The sequence below is a fragment of the Homo sapiens genome, chromosome 2 (genome assembly GCF_000001405.40).
Source record: "Homo sapiens chromosome 2, GRCh38.p14 Primary Assembly".
In the NCBI taxonomy this organism is placed as follows: domain Eukaryota; kingdom Metazoa; phylum Chordata; class Mammalia; order Primates; family Hominidae; genus Homo; species Homo sapiens.
In genome coordinates, this window is record NC_000002.12 from 170,216,033 (window position 1) to 170,234,402 (window position 18,370).

At 41.1% G+C, this 18,370-nt stretch overlaps 1 protein-coding gene across 8 annotated transcripts in view, besides 3 other annotated features; it reads left to right on the forward strand.

Annotated features, from left to right (window-relative positions):
* MYO3B (myosin IIIB) overlaps positions 1-18,370 on the forward strand; it is a 477,021-nt gene that overhangs the window by 37,886 nt on the left and 420,765 nt on the right. For all 8 annotated transcript variants that reach the window (NR_045682.2, NR_045683.2, NR_045684.2 and 5 more), the window contains exon 6: positions 1,287-1,363. Coding sequence is in view for 5 of the 8 variants with exons in the window: in NM_138995.5 (NP_620482.3) it covers positions 1,287-1,363 (77 nt within the window). In the remaining 3 variants the exon portion in view is untranslated. The remainder of the gene's footprint in view (positions 1-1,286; positions 1,364-18,370) is intronic.
* Positions 4,961-6,160: an enhancer, noted in NCBI's record as "MED14-independent group 3 enhancer chr2:171077503-171078702 (GRCh37/hg19 assembly coordinates)". NCBI's record gives its function as "activates an origin of replication core promoter dependent on BRD2, BRD4, P300/CBP and CDK7 cofactors, and independent of MED14, by STARR-seq in HCT116 cells {active_cell/tissue: HCT116}" and the evidence as "EXISTENCE:reporter gene assay evidence [ECO:0000049][PMID:35650434]".
* Positions 4,961-6,256: a biological region, named in NCBI's record as "MED14-independent group 3 enhancer GRCh37_chr2:171077503-171078702".
* Positions 5,756-6,256: an enhancer, noted in NCBI's record as "H3K27ac hESC enhancer chr2:171078298-171078798 (GRCh37/hg19 assembly coordinates)". NCBI's record gives its function as "activates a minimal SCP1, AML or CMV promoter by ChIP-STARR-seq in primed H9 embryonic stem cells {active_cell/tissue: H9 hESC(primed)}" and the evidence as "EXISTENCE:reporter gene assay evidence [ECO:0000049][PMID:30033119]".

Consider the following 18,370-nt stretch of genomic DNA (forward strand, 5'->3'; position numbering starts at 1 on the left):
AAATTGTGGTGGAGGACTTGGTAAAATGGGAAATTATCTAGGTCAAATAGACTTTAAAGAGCTTCTTGGCTCTCTAATAAAGAGAATGTCCGCAGTCATCCCCCAATAAACCCACAGATCCTTGGCAAATCTATGCTCATGTTTCAAAGGTGTGTCCTTTGCTAAGAACACATAGTGTTCAGTTTCTAAGTTTTTGTCATCAATGACATTAGTGGCAACCCTTGTCATTCTCTTAAGGTCTATGTGAGACTTCTGTGTGGTATAAAAGAATACCTTATGTGTGTAAAATGCTTTGCAATTTATAAAGCATTTTCACATTTGTTCTCCTATTTGGTCTTAAGAAGAACCCTCCGTGTTAGGTGTGACTGTTGTGATTATCCCTAGTTTAAAGATGAAAAAACTGAGGCTCAAAGGTGAAGCAATCACATAATTAGTAAAAAGCATAATTGGGATGGAAAACATTGATTTTTAATCCTGTGGACCTTTACGCTCTCGTGATATGAAGAAGACAGTTGGTTAAAGGACATTGGAGTTACATTAGAATTCAGGTCCCCAACATTGAGCCCCAGATAATGTTATTAGTCATTTTCTTTTTCCATTTGACAAACACAGCTTTCTTGCCAGGTTTCCAGGCTTCTAGGCAAGATAAGGCACTGAAATCTTTTTATGTCTACACTGATGCTCTGTTACAGATAGTGCAGCCGATCTTCTTTCTCCATAAAATGAAGCCCCTTATTAAGAAAGAAGTCATGTGAAATAATTTGGAAATATAATAGGATGATATTTTGGATTGATCCTAGTTGTTGATATTTTTCTTTTGATTTTTGCAGTGATATAGACAGGGATGTCCATTAGGGAAAAAAAAAAATCCTAATGATTTAAATAGAGTGATAAATGCTCCAGAGTTGTAGTTTGGCAACTACAGCTAGTGAGCCAAATATGACCTACCTCCTATTTTCATATGGCCTATGAGCTAGGAATGGTTTTTACATTTTTAAATGATTGGAAAAAAAAAACCCAAAATATTCTGTGACGTGAAAATTATATGAAATTCAAATTTCAGCATCTATAAATAAAGTTTTATTGGAATGCAGCCACATTCATTCATTTATGTGTTTACTATGGCTGCTTTTGTACTATTGCAGCAGAACTGAGTAGTTGTGACAGAGACCATATGGCCCACAAAGCCTAAAGTACTTATTTGGCCTTTGTGGAAAAAGTCTGCCGATTGCTGGTCTAGCATCATACTTTGCTCACTTTTGAATTCTGATACTCTTTCCTTATAGGTGTTTCAGCTCAACTCACCAGTACACGTCTGCGGAGAAACACATCTGTTGGCACCCCGTTCTGGATGGCCCCTGAGGTAAGCTGGAAATACCTAGTTCTTTCTTTGCACTTGTTGAATGCCTTGGTACTATGCCTTTTTATGGGTAAGTCATATGCTTTGCAGAATTTTTAGGGAGAAGAAAGTCCATTATCCTCATTGAACTTTAAGAGTACTAGTTTGGTCAGCGATGCTGGTGAGATGTAACCTCAGAAAAGCAAGATTAAGTTATAGCTATCCCACAGGGCACCTTCATGCAATTAGAAGAAAGTGTCCCTCCAGAAGATGCAGCCCCCTCCAAGGGCCATGTCTTGGCAAATTCATCAGCCCTTGTATAAATTAGAAAAAGTCAACTTCCCTGGATACATGCAGCCCCAGAGGTATATGGCTTTGTGAAGAGCCAGATTTCAGCACCAACTGGCCTACAGAACTATATGCGGTGGCCCTGGTTGTTTTTTTGTTACCAGATACATAGCAACTTATCTTGTGTACTTTGTCGGCTCTCTGTAGTGAAACATGGGATTTATTCCTAATTTAGGTTTGGCATCATCACAGAACTCTCTGGAAAATGACGCATGTAGAAGTTTGGGGAACCTTCCAGCTAGATGAGTCTTGCTCTGAAACACCAGTGCAGTTTAGTTTTTCAGGTCATTTAATTCCACAGTATGCTGACCTTTGCCTGAGAGCAGCTTTCTGGATTAAACAAATGGGTTCTTTTAATAAAAGGACTCAGATGGTCACCTCCTTAGATGTCTTTCCATCTCTGCATGATGGTATTTCCTCTGTGTGACTGCCAAAGTGGTCTCCTAACAAAGTAAGTGGTTCACACTAATCTCTGCTTAAATTTCTTCAGTGACCTCCCCCGCCTCCCATCATCTATGGCTCTTTCTTTCATACTGGGTAATGGATAGGCCCATTTTAAAGAAAAAGAAAAATGCTGCAATTTCCAGTGTTTACCTAAATCTTAAATATTTCTTAAATAGGTTTTACAAAACATAAAACTAGATATAAACTCTTTGTCATTTTTATTTGCAGAAGTATAAAACCAAAAGGAAAAAAATGTATTATGAAAAAAAGCTATTATACAATGCCAGTAACATTCAAGTAAGCAGCTCTACTTTTATGAGACAAATGATACTGTTTTGTGACTCTCCATTGTCCTTTGCAGTGTGCTTATGTTTCAGGACACAATAGTATGGGTTATTTTCAGTCTGGCACACCTACAACCACGTACCATGCGGCTACTCAGTTCTCCTACTACTTTATTCCATTTCAGCTAGCATAATCTGTTTGTTCAAACAGCACCTCTTTTGATCTCCAACTGTTACATCTGTGTTGGCTTGGTGCCAACTTAATAGTAAACATAATATGAACACTGTGTGACAAATAGTCATCCAGATGATCTAGACTATGTTTTTACTCCTCCTTCTCCCATTATTATTATTATTAATACAATTATCACTGAAACAAAACCAAAAACATAAAAAGTTATCTAGGGACTTTGTGAATCCCACTTTGAGAAGCACTGCAGGATAAAGTCAAAACTTCTTTGAATTTTGAATAAAGCTCTTAATATTCCAGCCCCTATCTATCCAGCCTTGTTTCAGATTACTTCCCCCAATTTACTTGTTCTTAATGCCCCAACAGTAGTGAACAGCAGGTGACTCTCCAAATCCCTACTGATGTGTCTTTCCTTTAAACCCTTGGTGTACTATTATATCATCTGGAATGGCCCCCAGGCCTCTGGAAAATTCCTCCTTAATTGACAAGTCTCAAATGCTAGCTCTGCTGGGAAACATTCCCTAATCCCTTGCCCACATTGAGGCTCCTTTCCCTAAGTTTCCACCACGTCCTTAGACCCTCCCTTAATACAGTATCACCACTGCATTGTAGTTGTTGGCAGGCAGGTCTCCCAACTGGACTCAGGTCTGCCAGGGACTTGGGATGCCTAAGCTCTTAATATAGTGCTTGATACAGAGTACATGCTCAAAAAAATTATCTGTTGGGTCAGGAGCGGTGGCTCATGCCTGTAATCCCAGCACTTTGGGAGGCCGACGCAGGCAGATCATTTGAGATCAGGAGTTTGAGACCAGCCTGTCCAACATGGCAAAACCCCATCTCTACTAAAAATACAAAAATTAGCTGGGTGTGGTAGTACACACCTGTAATTCCAGCTACTCTGGAGGTTGAGGCAGGAGAATTGTTTGAACCCGGGAGGCAGAGGTTGCAGTGAGCAGAGATGCCACCACTGCACTTCAGCCTGGGTGACAGAGTTAGACTCTGTCTCTCAAAAAAAAAAAAAATCTGTTGAATGAATGAATGCATCCATCTGTAAGAAAGCCAAAGGGATAAGATGCACTTGCAGGACAGTTTGAGGACGGCTTCACAACTATTGATATTAGCAAATTTGTCTGTAGATTTAGATCTGTTCTGAAAGGAAAGCATAACTAAGGTCACTCAACTAATATTTGGGGTGATATAACACGGAAGATGGTATTCCTGTTCTACTCTAGAGCAAATTGGTATTTTCAAAATCACAAAATATAATTAAGAGAAGCATTTTCTTGGCTTTGTACATTTATGTATAAATGGCTTTGTACATTTATTAAGAGGTGTTTGTGGCCGGGTGTGGTGGCTCATACCTGTAATCCCAGCACTTTGGGAGGCCAAGGTGGGCAGATCACGAGGTCAGGAGATCGAGACCATCCTGGCTAACACAGTGAAACCCTGTCTCTACTAAAAATACAAAAAATTAGCTGGGCATGGTGGCGGGTGCCTGTAGTCCCAGCTACTCAGGAGGCTGAGCAAGAAGAATGGCGTGAACCCGGAAGGCGGAGCTTGCAGTGAGCCGAGATTGTGCCACTGCACTCCAGCCTGGGAGACAGAGTGAGACTCCGTCTCAAAAACAAAACAAAACAAAACAAAACAATCAAAAAAGAGGTGTTTCTGACTTTCCAACTTTAACTGGATTGAATAAAATATGTGGAGTGTTGACCGGGAGCGGTGGCTCACGCCTGTAATCCCAGCACTTTGGAAGGCGGAGGCAGGCGAATCACAAGGTCAGGAGATCGAGACCATCCTGGCTAACACGGTGAAACCCCATCTCTACTAAAAATACAAAAATTAGCCTGGCAGGATGGCAGGGGCCTGTAGTCCCAGCTACTCGGGAGGCTGAGGCAGGAGAGTGGCGTGAACCCGGGAGGCAGAGCTTGCAGTGAGCCAAGATTGCACCACTGCACTCCAGCCTGGGCGACAGAGCCAGATTCCGTCTCAAAAAAAAAAAAAAAAAAAAAAAAAATGGAGTGTTTCTGTAGGGGACAGTTTATGGTGAGCTTTTTGCTCAGATTCCCTGGAAGTGGTTCCCCTGTTAGCTGGGAAAAGCCAGCACTGCATCCTGCCTGTTGCAGTGGATCAATTGAAAAGTAAGCAGTTTAAGGTATGGACACCTTGACAGCACGTTGCAGGAGTGAATGTCTGACTGTTCAAGTGCAGGATTCTCTCAGGATGTGTGATTGTGTCCAGTATGCTCTGGGACCCAGGCTGTAGCTCTTGGGAATCAGGCCTGCACTATTCTCACATTTTTATTTTCTAAATGGAGAAGCATTTTTTCCAACAAAGTCTCTTTTTGCGCCATAATCCTCCATAGGAATGTCCACAAGAACAACCTTCCATTTTTCAATTCAATTCAACAAGCATTTATATTGTCCATCTGAGCAATGCTTTGGGTCAAGAACAGTCCTTGAAAGTATAATCAGTAATGGTTCAAATTAACACTGTCTTCATATGATGGCCTGTGTGGTATATTGATCCTGATATGCTTTCACTTCTGCTTGTATGAATAAGTGGTCTTTAGATTAAATACGACAATGCACGCAATACCAATGCCAGTGGAATAAGAGCATTGCAGATGACTTGTGCTTTATTTTTAAAATGCAGCTGAGAGATCCTTGATCCTATTTTATTTTTGAGGAATTGAACCAAATTGTTTTTTCCCTTTTTTATTTCCATTTTTATTCCACAAGCTTGAGTAAGTGTAATATTTAATTCAGGTAGCTATTCTACAAACCGGGTAGCTAATGGAATGTGACCACAGTACAATCAAATGTTGATGAGCAGTCAAGACACACAGTTCACTGGGGCACCTCAAAGCTGCAGCATGAAATGACTATCATATTGTCAATACTCCCTACTCATTTTCTCTTACTACCTCATTTGGACACTACTAAAGTTGAAAGATACTGGCAGAGTAGTATCAACTCAGCAGTGTAGGAGAAGAGTTCTGTGGGATGCCCTTAGTGTATTAGAACTTTGAAACAATACTACTGGGGAAATAAATTGCTTGGCATAATAAAAGGGTTAATCTAAAAGTCAAGATCAGTAGAATTTTTTTTTAAAAGATGGGGTCTTACCATGTTGCCCAGGCTGGTCTCCAACTCCTAAGCTCAAGCATTCCTTCTGCTTCAGCCTCCCGAGTAGCTGGGACTACAGGGCATGCCCCAACATGCCTGGCTTAAGATCAGAACAATTTTTTATAAACTAAACACACTGTATGTGAGTAGCATACTGTGACTACAGGAAAGATTATCTTAAGAGAGAAAGAAAAATTTCACATGGAGACTATTTAGGAGATTATCATGAGCAAAATAACTTGAACAATAGATAATTAAGTTTCTCGTATAATAAGATCAGAGGTAGTTTGTTCCGGAGTTTGTTGATTTAGCAGCTCATAATAATAGAGTCATGAAAACTTCCGATTTTTAAATCTCCCTGGCTATGACTGCTGCAAGCTGCATGGCTTCATTGTTCTGGGACTGACTTTAGGGCAGTTATGACAACAGTGCCTGTGAATATCTGAGGGGCAGTAGTGGCTCCAACATGCCAATAGCCACAGGTGAAGGCACTCATGGTGCAACCAAACAGCGAGAAGTTAAAGTGGGTTTTCCTCCTCTCTTGGGGTTGAAGACTTTTCCACCCTATATTTATTTTCCCGGTCTGCTGTAATCAAGTAGTACAAACTGGGTAGCTTTAAACAACAGAAATATATTATCTCACACTTCTGGAGGCTAGAAATCTGAAACCAAGATGCCAGCAGGCTTCCTCTGAAGCCTCTAGGGGAGGGATCTTGCTTTGTCTCTTCCCAGCTACTGGAGGTTTGCTGGTGATCTTTGGTGTTCCCTGGCTTGCAAGCTGCGTAACTCCAGTCTCTGCCTTTGTAGTGCCGTGGTATTTTCTCTGTGTGTCTTCACATGTCCATGACTTCTTATAAGAACACCAGTCCCGTCGGATTAGAGGCCCACCCTACTCCAGTATGACCTCATCTGAATTCAACTAATTGTATATACAGTGACCCTATTTCCAAATAAGTTCACGTTCTGAGATTCTGGGGGCTAGGACTTAAATGTATCTTTTTTTTGGAGGACACAGTTCAACCAATAACAAGCTCCCAAATACTAATATTTAGCACCCTTCCTTTGTATTAAATCATTCAAGTTTCCAAGGTAATTAGTCAACTATTTAGAACCTGCAGGGCTGCAGGTTATAGATGCTAGCATAGTGAGAGGCTCAGCTTTGCCTGTTTACACACACATACACAACCACCTCCCCTACTCCACACACACCACACACATAGACTGTCTGCACTCTCTCAGCCTTTGGTGTTTGAGGCAAACGTGGTTCTTTCTGAAGGTACAAAGCATACCAAATTGCCTTCCTGTGTGGGCGCCCAACACCCCCAGACTTTTGTTCTCTCCTACCTACTCTCAGGCAAAGCATTTTTAAAATTATTATTATCTCCTGAGATGTTTGGCCAGCTCATAGTCACTTCCTTGAACCTTCTCTTTACCTGATTAAGCCTCTCTGGTCTCCTGACCTAAAACTTTAGCCTGCATTTTATGCACTTAAAAAAACTCACAAAAACAACACAGTCTTCCTATTAGCCATGTTTATTATCTCTTTTCTCCTCCACTATCTCCTGACAGCCAATTTCTTATAGTAAGTAATATGAATAATAGTATCCCACATTTGCGTAGAATTTTTACAAATAGTATTTTAAAAACACTGTCATCTACCTGTGAGAGTGCCACTCGGGCATGATTACATTGATGTTGTAGATAAAGAATCTAAGGCTTTGTCAGGCCAAGTGTCCATAGACACAGAGTGGGTAGGTGGGTAATGGTGACTGGAATCCATATTTTGTGACTTATTCAACTAAGGGATTTCCAATGTAACCCGTGTCCGCTGTTAATATTGCTCAACCAATTTTTATATCAAACACATGCCAGGTAATATCCTGGCCTATAGCAAAAGGGATACAAGCCTAGTTTATGTTGATTAATGGTAATGGCAGGGGGTTAGGGGTAGTTGATACCTAAAAAACTTTTTCTACCATCACATATAGCAAAGAATTAAACTCAGTGTTTGTAAGTGACTGAAACCCAAGAGAAAGAACCAATGTTGTCATTATCGTTTTTATTGAGGACACCAGTAGACTTTGAAAATAATGGCTTATATTTAGCTGATGTACACTGTGTGGCCAGGCTGGTTGTTAAGATATTAAACTATTCATTCTGGATGGTAAATGGCTGCCATCCAGAGCCCCTTGAGTGCTCCTCAGCCACCAGAGGTGCCCTGTCTTTTACCCTGGGACATTTCTGACCTGATGATCCAGTAACTATGGGGGGAAAGGTCTGTTTGACAAGCAGGGATGGCCAGTGCCACATGCCACCTGATTGTCAGATATTTTGAACATTGCACTTGCTAAGCAGAGGCATAGTGGGAAGGAAACTTTCACTTACTGAGGACTGACTCTATACCAGGGACTATGATAGGGGCTTTTAAAATATTTTATTTCATTTTCACAACAGCTCTCAATAGTGGATGTTATTTTCTCCATTTGATCACTGAGGAAAGTGAGGCTTAAAGAGCTATAGGAGGAATCGAGCCCAAATTCACATACCTAGTAAATATTGAAGCTGTTTGGCTTTTCAGAGAGCATGGGAATGCAAGTCCCATTTTGCAGATGAAGAAACCAAGGCAGGGAAAGGATACTTGTACTCTCACTTTACAGTGTGTTCATATGGGATATTCATTGTGGAAAATGTGTACCAGCTAACTGAGACACCAGCTCATATAACAAAGACACGCAGAGATATAGTGGAAGTATACTCTGAAATTGGAGTGTGAGACATCATTTTAAAAGATGCACATGAAGGACCTATCACCTATAATTTATAGGTTGACTACACTTTGCAATTCCGCCATGCATTAAGGATCTAGTATATGCAGCATCTTCCTAAAACAGCTAACGGTCTGTTTCTGTACTGGAAAACAGACTTGTGGATAAAATAAACATTTGCTTCTTTTCAGAAAATTCTCCCCCTCTTTACTTCCATCTGCTCATTGTTGCAAACAAGAGCTAATCAGCTGAGCAGAGAAACAGATGTGCTGTGACGGCTCCAAAAATGGGTCTCTCTCTGCCTGGCAAAGGGTCGTTGACAAGGGACGGTTGCCATAACAACTAGCTTACACTAATGCAGAAATATCGCAAGCTTTTTGCAGCCACTCTTGCCTTTGTTAATTATGCCATTCCTAGTAAATGATACGATAATGCTATTTCCTTTGGCATTGCCAGGGCTAGAGATGACAAATGAGATATTTTGTGTCAAAGGGCTGAGAAAGACATACAACACTATAGAGTTGAATTATTATTATTGTCATTATTACCATTTTGTTCCCTAAGCTCTAGCTAATGGGTTTGGTTCCCAAATAAGAGCTAGCGTTTAGCGAGTGCTTACTATGTGTTAGGTGCTAAGTGAGTTGTGTGTATTAACTCATTTATAAATCTTACAACACTACCAAAAAGGGGGTGCTATTGCTAGTCCAATGTTTTAGGTGAAGTAGATGAGTCACAGAAAGTAATTATTCTTGTCCTTGGACAAGTTATTAGGTGATGCCACCAGAGTTTGAACCCAGATATTTGTCTCCAAAGTCCTTACTTTTAACCACTATACCACAGCAAATTATTTAATTGTGACAACCAGTGTACCAGATAAGTCATGAATTGTTTTTTCCCCCAATTCTTAACATAGATGAGAATTATCCTTCCTAATATATGAAGGAAAATGTAATATTTCAATCTGATGCTAAAAGCCAGTGTAATTAATGCCCAAGAGAAGGATATGGAAAAAATAAAATAAAGTTCTTTAGAATTGAATTTAGGAGATTTACATTTTACTCTTGGCTCTGCCACTCATTTTCTAGAAAATGATTGTGGTTCAGTTATTTTAATATGGCTTCAGTTTGAATAAAAAAGCACAAATTTTAGAGTCAGATAGATTTGGGAGCAAATCATAGATACCTGCTACCCATATAACCAGTAACCTCAGGCAAGTTACTTAATATTTCTGACTAGTAAAATGGGGAGAAGTTAAAAGAGGTAAAATGGGGAGAAAAAAACCTGCCTGAAAAGATAAAATGAAATAATGTACTGCAACTGTTCAGGGCAGTGCCAGACGCAATAGGGGCTTCTAACAGTGGTGGCATATGTTGCCCCTATGCCTACCTCTGCTTAGCCTGTTCTCATCTGTAAAAAAGAAGAAATTGGCTTAGGTAGTCTTTGCCTTTTAAGGTCCTGTCTATTTTACAGGGAACATTTACTGTTTTTAGAGGGAAGACCTGCTTTCAGTTCTCATATTCCATGGCTCTGATGTTCCACAAGCAATGAGGGTGGGATCTCACCAAGTTCCCAGTAAGAGTGAACTAATGTTGATGCCGTGGCTGCTAGGTTCCATTTTACCTGGCTCTGTTAAAAGACTGGAGATTCATGGGACCCTGTCTGCCGGTCATATCACTGTGAGGAATGCAGGCTTTGGGAGCTCAGGAGAGTTAAATGAGAGGTTTAGAACTTCAGATCATTGGCTGAAAGACCTGCCTACCTTCTCCAGAGACATTCATCTCTGAGATTCCGTAACCTTTTGCTGTTGCCTGGTTCACCCCAGGCATTGTGTGTCAGGCTCAAAGAAACAGATTCCTTCTCTGGTTCTGAGGCTGGCCCTGGCCTGCCTACATTTGCAGAGTGGTTCTGTCTTCTAAGGCCCTGAGGCACAACCCAGACGCTCAGTGTTCCAGCAGGCAAACGGCCCAAGGTGCAAGGGGTGGAAATGACTGGATGCAGCCCCAGGTTTTCACCTCAGCTCCAGCGATAGTTCCCTCTCAGCTGGAGCTCTGTGGGGAGGTTGAGTCATGTGTCATATGTCAGTGTGGAGGCGGGGGGCTGATTCTGGAGGAGGTGGTGATATGTTATTACCCTCTTCCTGGTGGGTCTAAATATAAGACCCTATCTGAGGGCTTTAGATCCCAGATGTGCAGAAGCATGTGAGGCCCAGAGCAGAGGCCTCACATCCCCTCCGAGTGCTGAGTGAGAAGTGCTAAGCCAGAAATGTCAAAGGAACAACTACCAGGAGCATTTGGAATTTTTAAGGCTGTCCTCACTCCTCTCTGGGGAGGTGAGAAGGGTCAAAGCATCTGCTGTTGCCCCTTCTCTTCATCCACCAAAGAGGAAAAGAGGAAAAACTGATTCTGTTACTGCAGGAACAGAAGTGTTTGCTGAAGGAATGTCAGAGTTGGCCTCAGCTCTTCCTGAGCTCTGGGTCCCAAATTACCCATGACTGACCTCCAGTCAGTGCCTCCACTGCCCTGTTCTGGGTACAGTCTCAGCCCATGAAAGAGAATTCCCACCCAAGCCAAACTCTACATTTGCTTCCTTGCCTGATGGCCACTGAGCCACCATGAGAGCAAATGGGGGAGAGCAGTCAGCATGAGGGATGGGACCTCAGAGGAGCCTTGAGTAGGATGAAATAGGAACAAGTAGAGGCAGATGGACTAGTGTTTCTTGTGCTCTATTATGTCCCGGGTATTTCTCATACTTTTTTGTGAGGGGAAGTGGGGGGGTACAGGGTCTTGCTCTGTCATCCAGGCTGGAGTGTGGTGGTGTGATTTTGGCTCACTGCGACCTCCACCTCCAGGTCTCAAGCGATTCTTGTGCCTTAGCCTCTCTAGTAGCTGGGATTATAGGCATGTGCCACCACGCCCCGCTAATTTTTGTATTTTTAGTAGAGACAGGGTTCCATCATGTTGCCCAGGCTGGTCTTGAACTCCTGGGCTCAAGTGATCCACCTGTTTTGGCCTCTCAAAGTGCTGAGATGACAGGCATGAGCCACAGTGCCCGGCCTCCCATACCTTTTTTAATTTTAGAGAGCTAAACAGAATCACTCTCTAACAGGAACATATGACATTCTCAAGGACATCCTTATTTGCATGGTGCTGTCAGCCTGGGTGAGGACAGAAACCACAGATACTTGCCGATGAAGGGGTATGTCCAAGTGGGAACTTTCAGATACTCTGATTGATTTGCTTCCCTTCCTGTTTTTCAGATGTGTCATGAAGGAGAAAAACATTTTTTTCCTCAATAGTTTCTGATTGGGTGCTCTCCTTCAGTTCTATCCCCTACTAGCTGTGGCCTTGAGCGCATATATCTCTTAACTTTCTGAATCTGTTTCCTGACTTGGTGTAATAATACGTGACCTGACAAGCTGTAAAATGGACTGAATTGTAGAGGTTCTCCTTGTCCTTAACATACTCTGGTGGAAATGGAGCACTAACTGGCAAAAGAAAGGGGCAGCAAGGGAGAGTGAAGGGACAGGGAAGTGAGAGGCGGCAGGAAATCCATCTGCTTAATGCTTGCGTGCTGTGCCTATGGGTTCATAGCGTAGATGTTACTGTGACTGCGGCTCTCTGAATATGGACTCTGTTTGGAAGTGGCTCAGCATTCTCCATAATTATAAGGATTCCCAAGAGATGCCTCACTCAGGAAGGTGGTAGGTAACCATGGAGTTTGCTCCTGCTTTGGTCATGAACCAACTGTGTGATTTCAGACAAATCAACTGACTCTCCCCTCAGGCCCTCAGTTTTCTCTTCTGTAAAAGAAGGGGGTTGAATGAGTGAATCTTAAAGGTCCTTTCATTGTCCATCTCTGTATGAGGAAGCTCTGGAACAGGCAAGGACAGTGGGATTGCACTGGGTCTCCAAGCAAATGTGCTCCTTCACTTTTTGAGTACCAAGGACACATACGAAATTTGGACATGCTAGGAGTTCTGTAGATATTGGTCCTGAGTCTGAGAACGGGACTTAACACACAAGTAAGAATAAATGATCTGTTCCCAGGGCTTCAGGGAATTTAGGTGCAAAAATCAGTGTGTGGGCTGACCTCAAACCCAGAGTGAGTTCCTCTTCTACCCTCCACTAGCTATGGTGGGAAGCTGGTGTAGTGTAAGCGTGCTTTGAGTGTTTTTAATTTGAACCTGGCTTTATTTCTCTGTAGACTTAAGCTGAAACTTACAATCCTGGGAAAAAAGAGACCCATAGAACATCACATTATAATTAGAGACCTTCCTGAAGTTCATAAGAACAGTCTAATTTAAATTATTTCTGACAATTTCATAGTGTACAAAATGTGGATTTAATCTTAGCTCTAGTTTTAGTTTTATGAAAGACCATCCCCCTGCCAAATACTTCAATTTCAGTTCATCTAGTCCATATTCCCTTTACAAAAAAAAAAAAAAAAAAAAACAACGAATCTCAAATGTATCCTCTCTTGAAATTATGTATCATCATAGGTAAGAAACTTCATTTGTTTATTCAGTATCTCAGCTTATAACACTTTAAGATGTTCATTTGTAAAAGTGATAAAAATATTTGCCACTGGAATATTTATACTGTAACCACAATTTCTGATTCCAGAGAAGTTCTGACTTGGAAATCTTTATGATCAATAACATTTATCAATTATGCTGCATGAATTGTGTAAGCAAATTAAGAATCCTATTTGCCTTCCTACCTCTCAGCCCATCTTATTTGCCAGTCTATTGCCTGCATTTTTGGGCTCAAGGTCAGCCAAGGATTAATAGCTTTAGGTCTGTTTGCCTTGCCTCTTATTTAGCTGAATGTAGCTCTTGAGATAACAGCATTTTGCCTGTGTACTTGAGTGAAATTTTAATCCTGACCTTTGGTTATAATTTTGGATTGCATGAATGATTCTAGTAAGGTGAGAAATCAGAACATAGAAGGCAAACCTAATTACATTTTTAATGACATTTAAAAATATTAGTGGAAAATTAGTCTGAATAATACCTGTTGTTTAAGTTTGATAAATTATTTCTTATGACAGCAAAAATACTATAATACTATTTGCTTGAAAACATTGCTTAAAATTACATTATTGGAAGAAATTTCAGCCCAGCAGCTCTCTGACATAAAATTCGATAAATGGTTTAACTATTTTATTAGAGAAACTAGGTTTTCTGAATCTAGAAGCTCATATATTGACTGTTTTTATCCCTTTCACATATAGTATAATACAGATGATCTTTCTGGATAATGAAGATCTTGAGATGAGAAGCTGTAAGCTCAGGTTCTTATACACCAAGTCTTTGTGCAAGAGAGGGTGGAACTCACTCCTATCTTGGTAACTTTATCAATAAGTCCTAGTCATGGATCATGATGGCCCGAGAAAGTGAAAGTACTCTACTCATGCCCTGTGCTTACAGTAGAAAGGGATATAGTTGGGAAGGGAATTTCATTTGTAAAACTGATTAAAAAAAATCTGCCACTGGAATAGTTATACTGTAACTACAACTTCTGATTCCAGAGAAGTTCTATTTTAGAAAGCCTTATGTTCAATAACATTTATCGATTATACTACATGAATAATTATGCTTCATTCTTCTGGTATTAATCTCATGGGGACCTAGTTTTTTTTTTTGTTTTTTTTTTTTCGAGACAGAGTCTTGCTCTGTTACCCAGGCTGGAGTGCAGTGGAGTGATCTTGGCTCACTGCAACCTCCGCCTCCCATGTTCAAGCAATTCTCTTGCCTCAGCCTCCGGAGTAGCTGGGATCACAGGCATGTGCCACCACGCCTGGCTAATTTTTTTTTTTTTTTTTTTTTTTTTTAGTAGAGACGGGGTTTCACCATGTTGGTCAGGCTGGTCTCTAACTCCTGACCTCGTGATCTGCCTACCTTGGCCTCCCAAAGTGCTGGGATTATAGGCGTGAGCCACCACATCCAGCCAGGGACCTAGTTATATAATCAAGATACAACCTTTAACCTGCCAACTTCTTGATAAAGAATCCCAGCAGTCAACAAATACTCCAGAAGAAAGAAACATGCCCTTGAAAATTAAGGCAAACTTTTCAATATTTATTTATATTTTCAAGACAAAAAAACATAAAATTCGCTTCTTTCTATTATAGAAATAATCCATGCTCTCTATAGACATTTTAGAAAACATAAAAGATCTTAAAGAAGTAAGTAGATAAAATAATTATTAGCCATATGTCAGTGATCCAGTGATATCTACTATTAACATTTTAGTGCCATAGTAAAAGCTGAATAACCAGCATTTTCATAAGCAGTGCTTCGGATGAGGCCCATGAAAAAGGGGTTGCTTGGTTTGCTTGCAAAGAAGAGGTACAGGGAGATAAAATATTTTGTCAAAGTCACCCAGTGAGAGGGTGGCAAAACCAAAACAAAAATGCCAGGCTCTGGGATTTTCTAGCATTAGTCAGAGGTGAAAGTCTCTTCGTGACCCAAGAGCTGCTGACTGTTGTTTTTCTCTGCCATTTTCTGGCTGGTGGCTAAGGAAAGGAACAGCCATCTTCAACAGAACACAGCTGACCCTGCTCAAGGACAGACAAGGGGATGATATGTGTCAAAGCAGTTGTGCATGTGGTTTCATCCCATAGATTCCCGCAGGAGAGGGGAGGTGTTCCCTCTGTGGGGTAGGAGGGAGTGACTGGGGGTAGATTTAAGGAGTCTGGATCTGTGAACTCCTTAGCCTGAAGAAGGCTAAAGAGAATTGCCTCAACAATTGAAGACAGATAATGACTAGCCTTTGCTCCAAAGACCTGTCAAGCTAAGCCATTAGTGAAAACTTGTTTCTTGTTCTCAATCTTCTCCAGAAAGAAAAGTTTTTGGCAGCTAAGGTGGTAATGACCAACATTTGGGAGTCTCAACCCACTGCTAGGTAAAATAGCTATTGGCCTTGGGCACTAAAGCTGCCAGTGCATAGATATTGCTAGTAATCCAGCATTAGTGTTTTTCTTCTTCCTAAAATAAGCAGCAGTGTAGTCTAACTGTACCAGAAGAGCCGTAAGTTTGCATTTCAAGGTAGGAACCTGGACATGCTCCATTAACCAGCTTCCAAACAATTGCTCTGTCGCTGAAGCTCATCTTCCTTAACAGAGGCATTATTACAGCAACCAGCATATTTTCATAGACCTTAAGACCTTCTACAAAACATTGGCAACAAAATCCCCTCAAAGTTCCAGCCATCCTGTTCACACCTCAGAATAATGTACTGTTCACTCTAGCTAATTTGTATGGCAGTGTTAGCCTCTCAGTTTGAGATACTACCCAAAGATCACTTACTTGGAAGTCGCAAAGTCGTAGAATATTAGAGCTAGAAGGGATCGTATAGGTTATTTATTTCCACCTTACCACTTTATAGATAGAGAGAGGTCCTGAGAATATAAGTGATTTGTTTTCAGATGTGAAAGGGTGTGCATTTGGGATCCTGGACCTTTGTCAACACCGTCTCATTTCTCTCCACTCCTTTAATGTGACTTACAGAACCTGGAAAACCTGGTCCCAAAGACGTGCACTTACTTGCCTTCGTCAGTCTCCTTTCTTAATGGAGCATCCTAACAACTGATTCAGAGAGTTCTTTTTGAGGTCACCTTCTCCTGGGGACAAGGGAAGAAAGACCATTCGACCATCCAAGCATCCTTAACTCAGCTCTATTTAACCTAGAGACAAGGAGAATGTTGAGCTAAAGAGAATGATAGTAGTGTTTTCTCTTAAAGAAATAGCTTCAGACTTTGGTATTGGATTGATAGGGAATCCCATTCCAGGATGTTGACCTTCAGTTGCCCTGCATCCTCTTAAGAGTGCTTCTTTAACTCTCATCGTATGTGTAACCTGCAGAAAGGGCTGTTTCCTCCTGGTAAGGAGCAATCCTGAATGAGAGACCCCCAAAGAAGATGGAGTTGAAATGACAAAACCTCAGAACACCTGAGCGTAGTCAAAATATGAGTGCAGAAGCTGATAATTTTAACAATTTTAACCAACTGTAACTTTTATTATAGATAGCACTTATATGGCAATGATTCATTTAGTTATCCTTCTCCCTGCCTGGGTTCAAATTCTGGCCCTGACAATTACTAGCTATGTGATGCCAGGTAAGCTGTTTAACCATGCTATCCTCAGTTTCCACACCTGCATAAGTGATAATAGCACCTACTTTGCCAAATTATTATGAAGATTAAGTTCAGTGTGTATTTGACTTTCTCTTCCCAGGGCCTACTATCATGCCAGACTAATGAGTACTCAATAATTATTTGTGAATTATTTTATTAGCATAATTTTCAATAAACTTCCTTGGAAGGCTGAACTTAAATAATTTCTTTGTTACATGATGCACTGAAGAGAAGAATTAGGCCAAGATATGATTTTCTATTCATCAGAATGAGCTGAAGATAATGTTTGTCTGTAAAGAGAAGTTGAAACCAGATACAAGTTTTGAATATTTTAGGACAACGCTTGAGAAATGTTAGAATATCTCCATTTTCACATTTAGATATGTTCTTAGAATTGCCTTTTGTGTCCCATCCAAGTTGGCTAGAAGCTGATTTGAATTTCTCCGCAAAAGTTCTAGACTATGGGTACTAGATACTTTTTATTGTCTTGCTTAGCCAGCAGTGGTCTCCTTCTAAAATCTTAAGCATTTAGAGCCCATATCCTTTATTGGACGTGTTAGTACACATTGTCTTAGGGCATTTATAGTTGTCATGGTTTGTCATTTAATTATGATAGGTTCACCTTATATTTTGATTGGCCATAGCTCCTATTGGGGAAGGACAGAGTCTTATTTCTCTCTCCCTCACAGGCCCTATCACAGTGTCATGAATAACAGTGAACTATTTGTTGATTGATAGGTCTAAAATTATGTTTGTCTTACACTTTCGAAAGTGTCATTTCTGAAAGGGAAGGTGTTGAATAGCCTTCTCTAGGGATCTTTAAAAATAATGTAGGTTCTCACCTGATTGGGGTGAGGAAAGGGAGGTCTTTGGGGGCAATGAAATGGCCTTTGGTTCTGAAACTGGAATTGTTTGAACTTCAGTTTGAATGTACATTTGAAAATAACGTGTTAAAAGTATGACAGGATATTCTATTCAGAAGATGGGGCTGGGGCCAGGCCAAGGATGTGGATATATAGAAAATGTTCTTCAGCTCAGAAGAGAAGAGTACAGGGCAATTATGAGAACAAGAGCACAGAGTTTAGAGCACATTTTGCACAGTTGGCACATTTTGCCAGGCCTTACAGGTCCAATGCACTGTTTCTGGAAGAGAGCAGGAATACTAGTTTTCTATCACTGCCATAACAATACCACAAACTTAGTGGCTTAAAACACCTGTTTCTGGCCGGGCGCGGTGGCTCACGCCTGTAATCCCAGCACTTTGGGAGGCCGAGGCGGGTGGATCACGAGGTCAGGAGATCGAGACCATCCCGGCTATAACGGTGAAACCCCGTCTCTACTAAAAATACAAAAAATTAGCCGGGCGTAGTGGCGGGCGCCTGTAGTCCCAGCTACTTGGGAGGCTGAGGCAGGAGAATGGCGTGAACCCAGGAGGCGGAGCTTGCAGTGAGCCGAGATCCCGCCACTGCACTCCAGCCTGGGCGACAGAGTGAGACTCCGTCTCAAAAAAAAAAAAAAAAACAAAACAAAACAAAAAAAAAACACCTGTTTCTTAGTCTTAATCTGTTTCATGCTGCTATAACAGATTATCTGAGACTGGGTAATTTATAAAGAACAGAAATTTATTTTCTCACAGTTCTAGAGGCTGGGAAGCCTAAGGTCAAAGTGCTGGCATCTGGTGTGGGCCTTCATACTATGTCCTCACATGGCAGAAGGCAGAAGGGAGCAAACCCAGT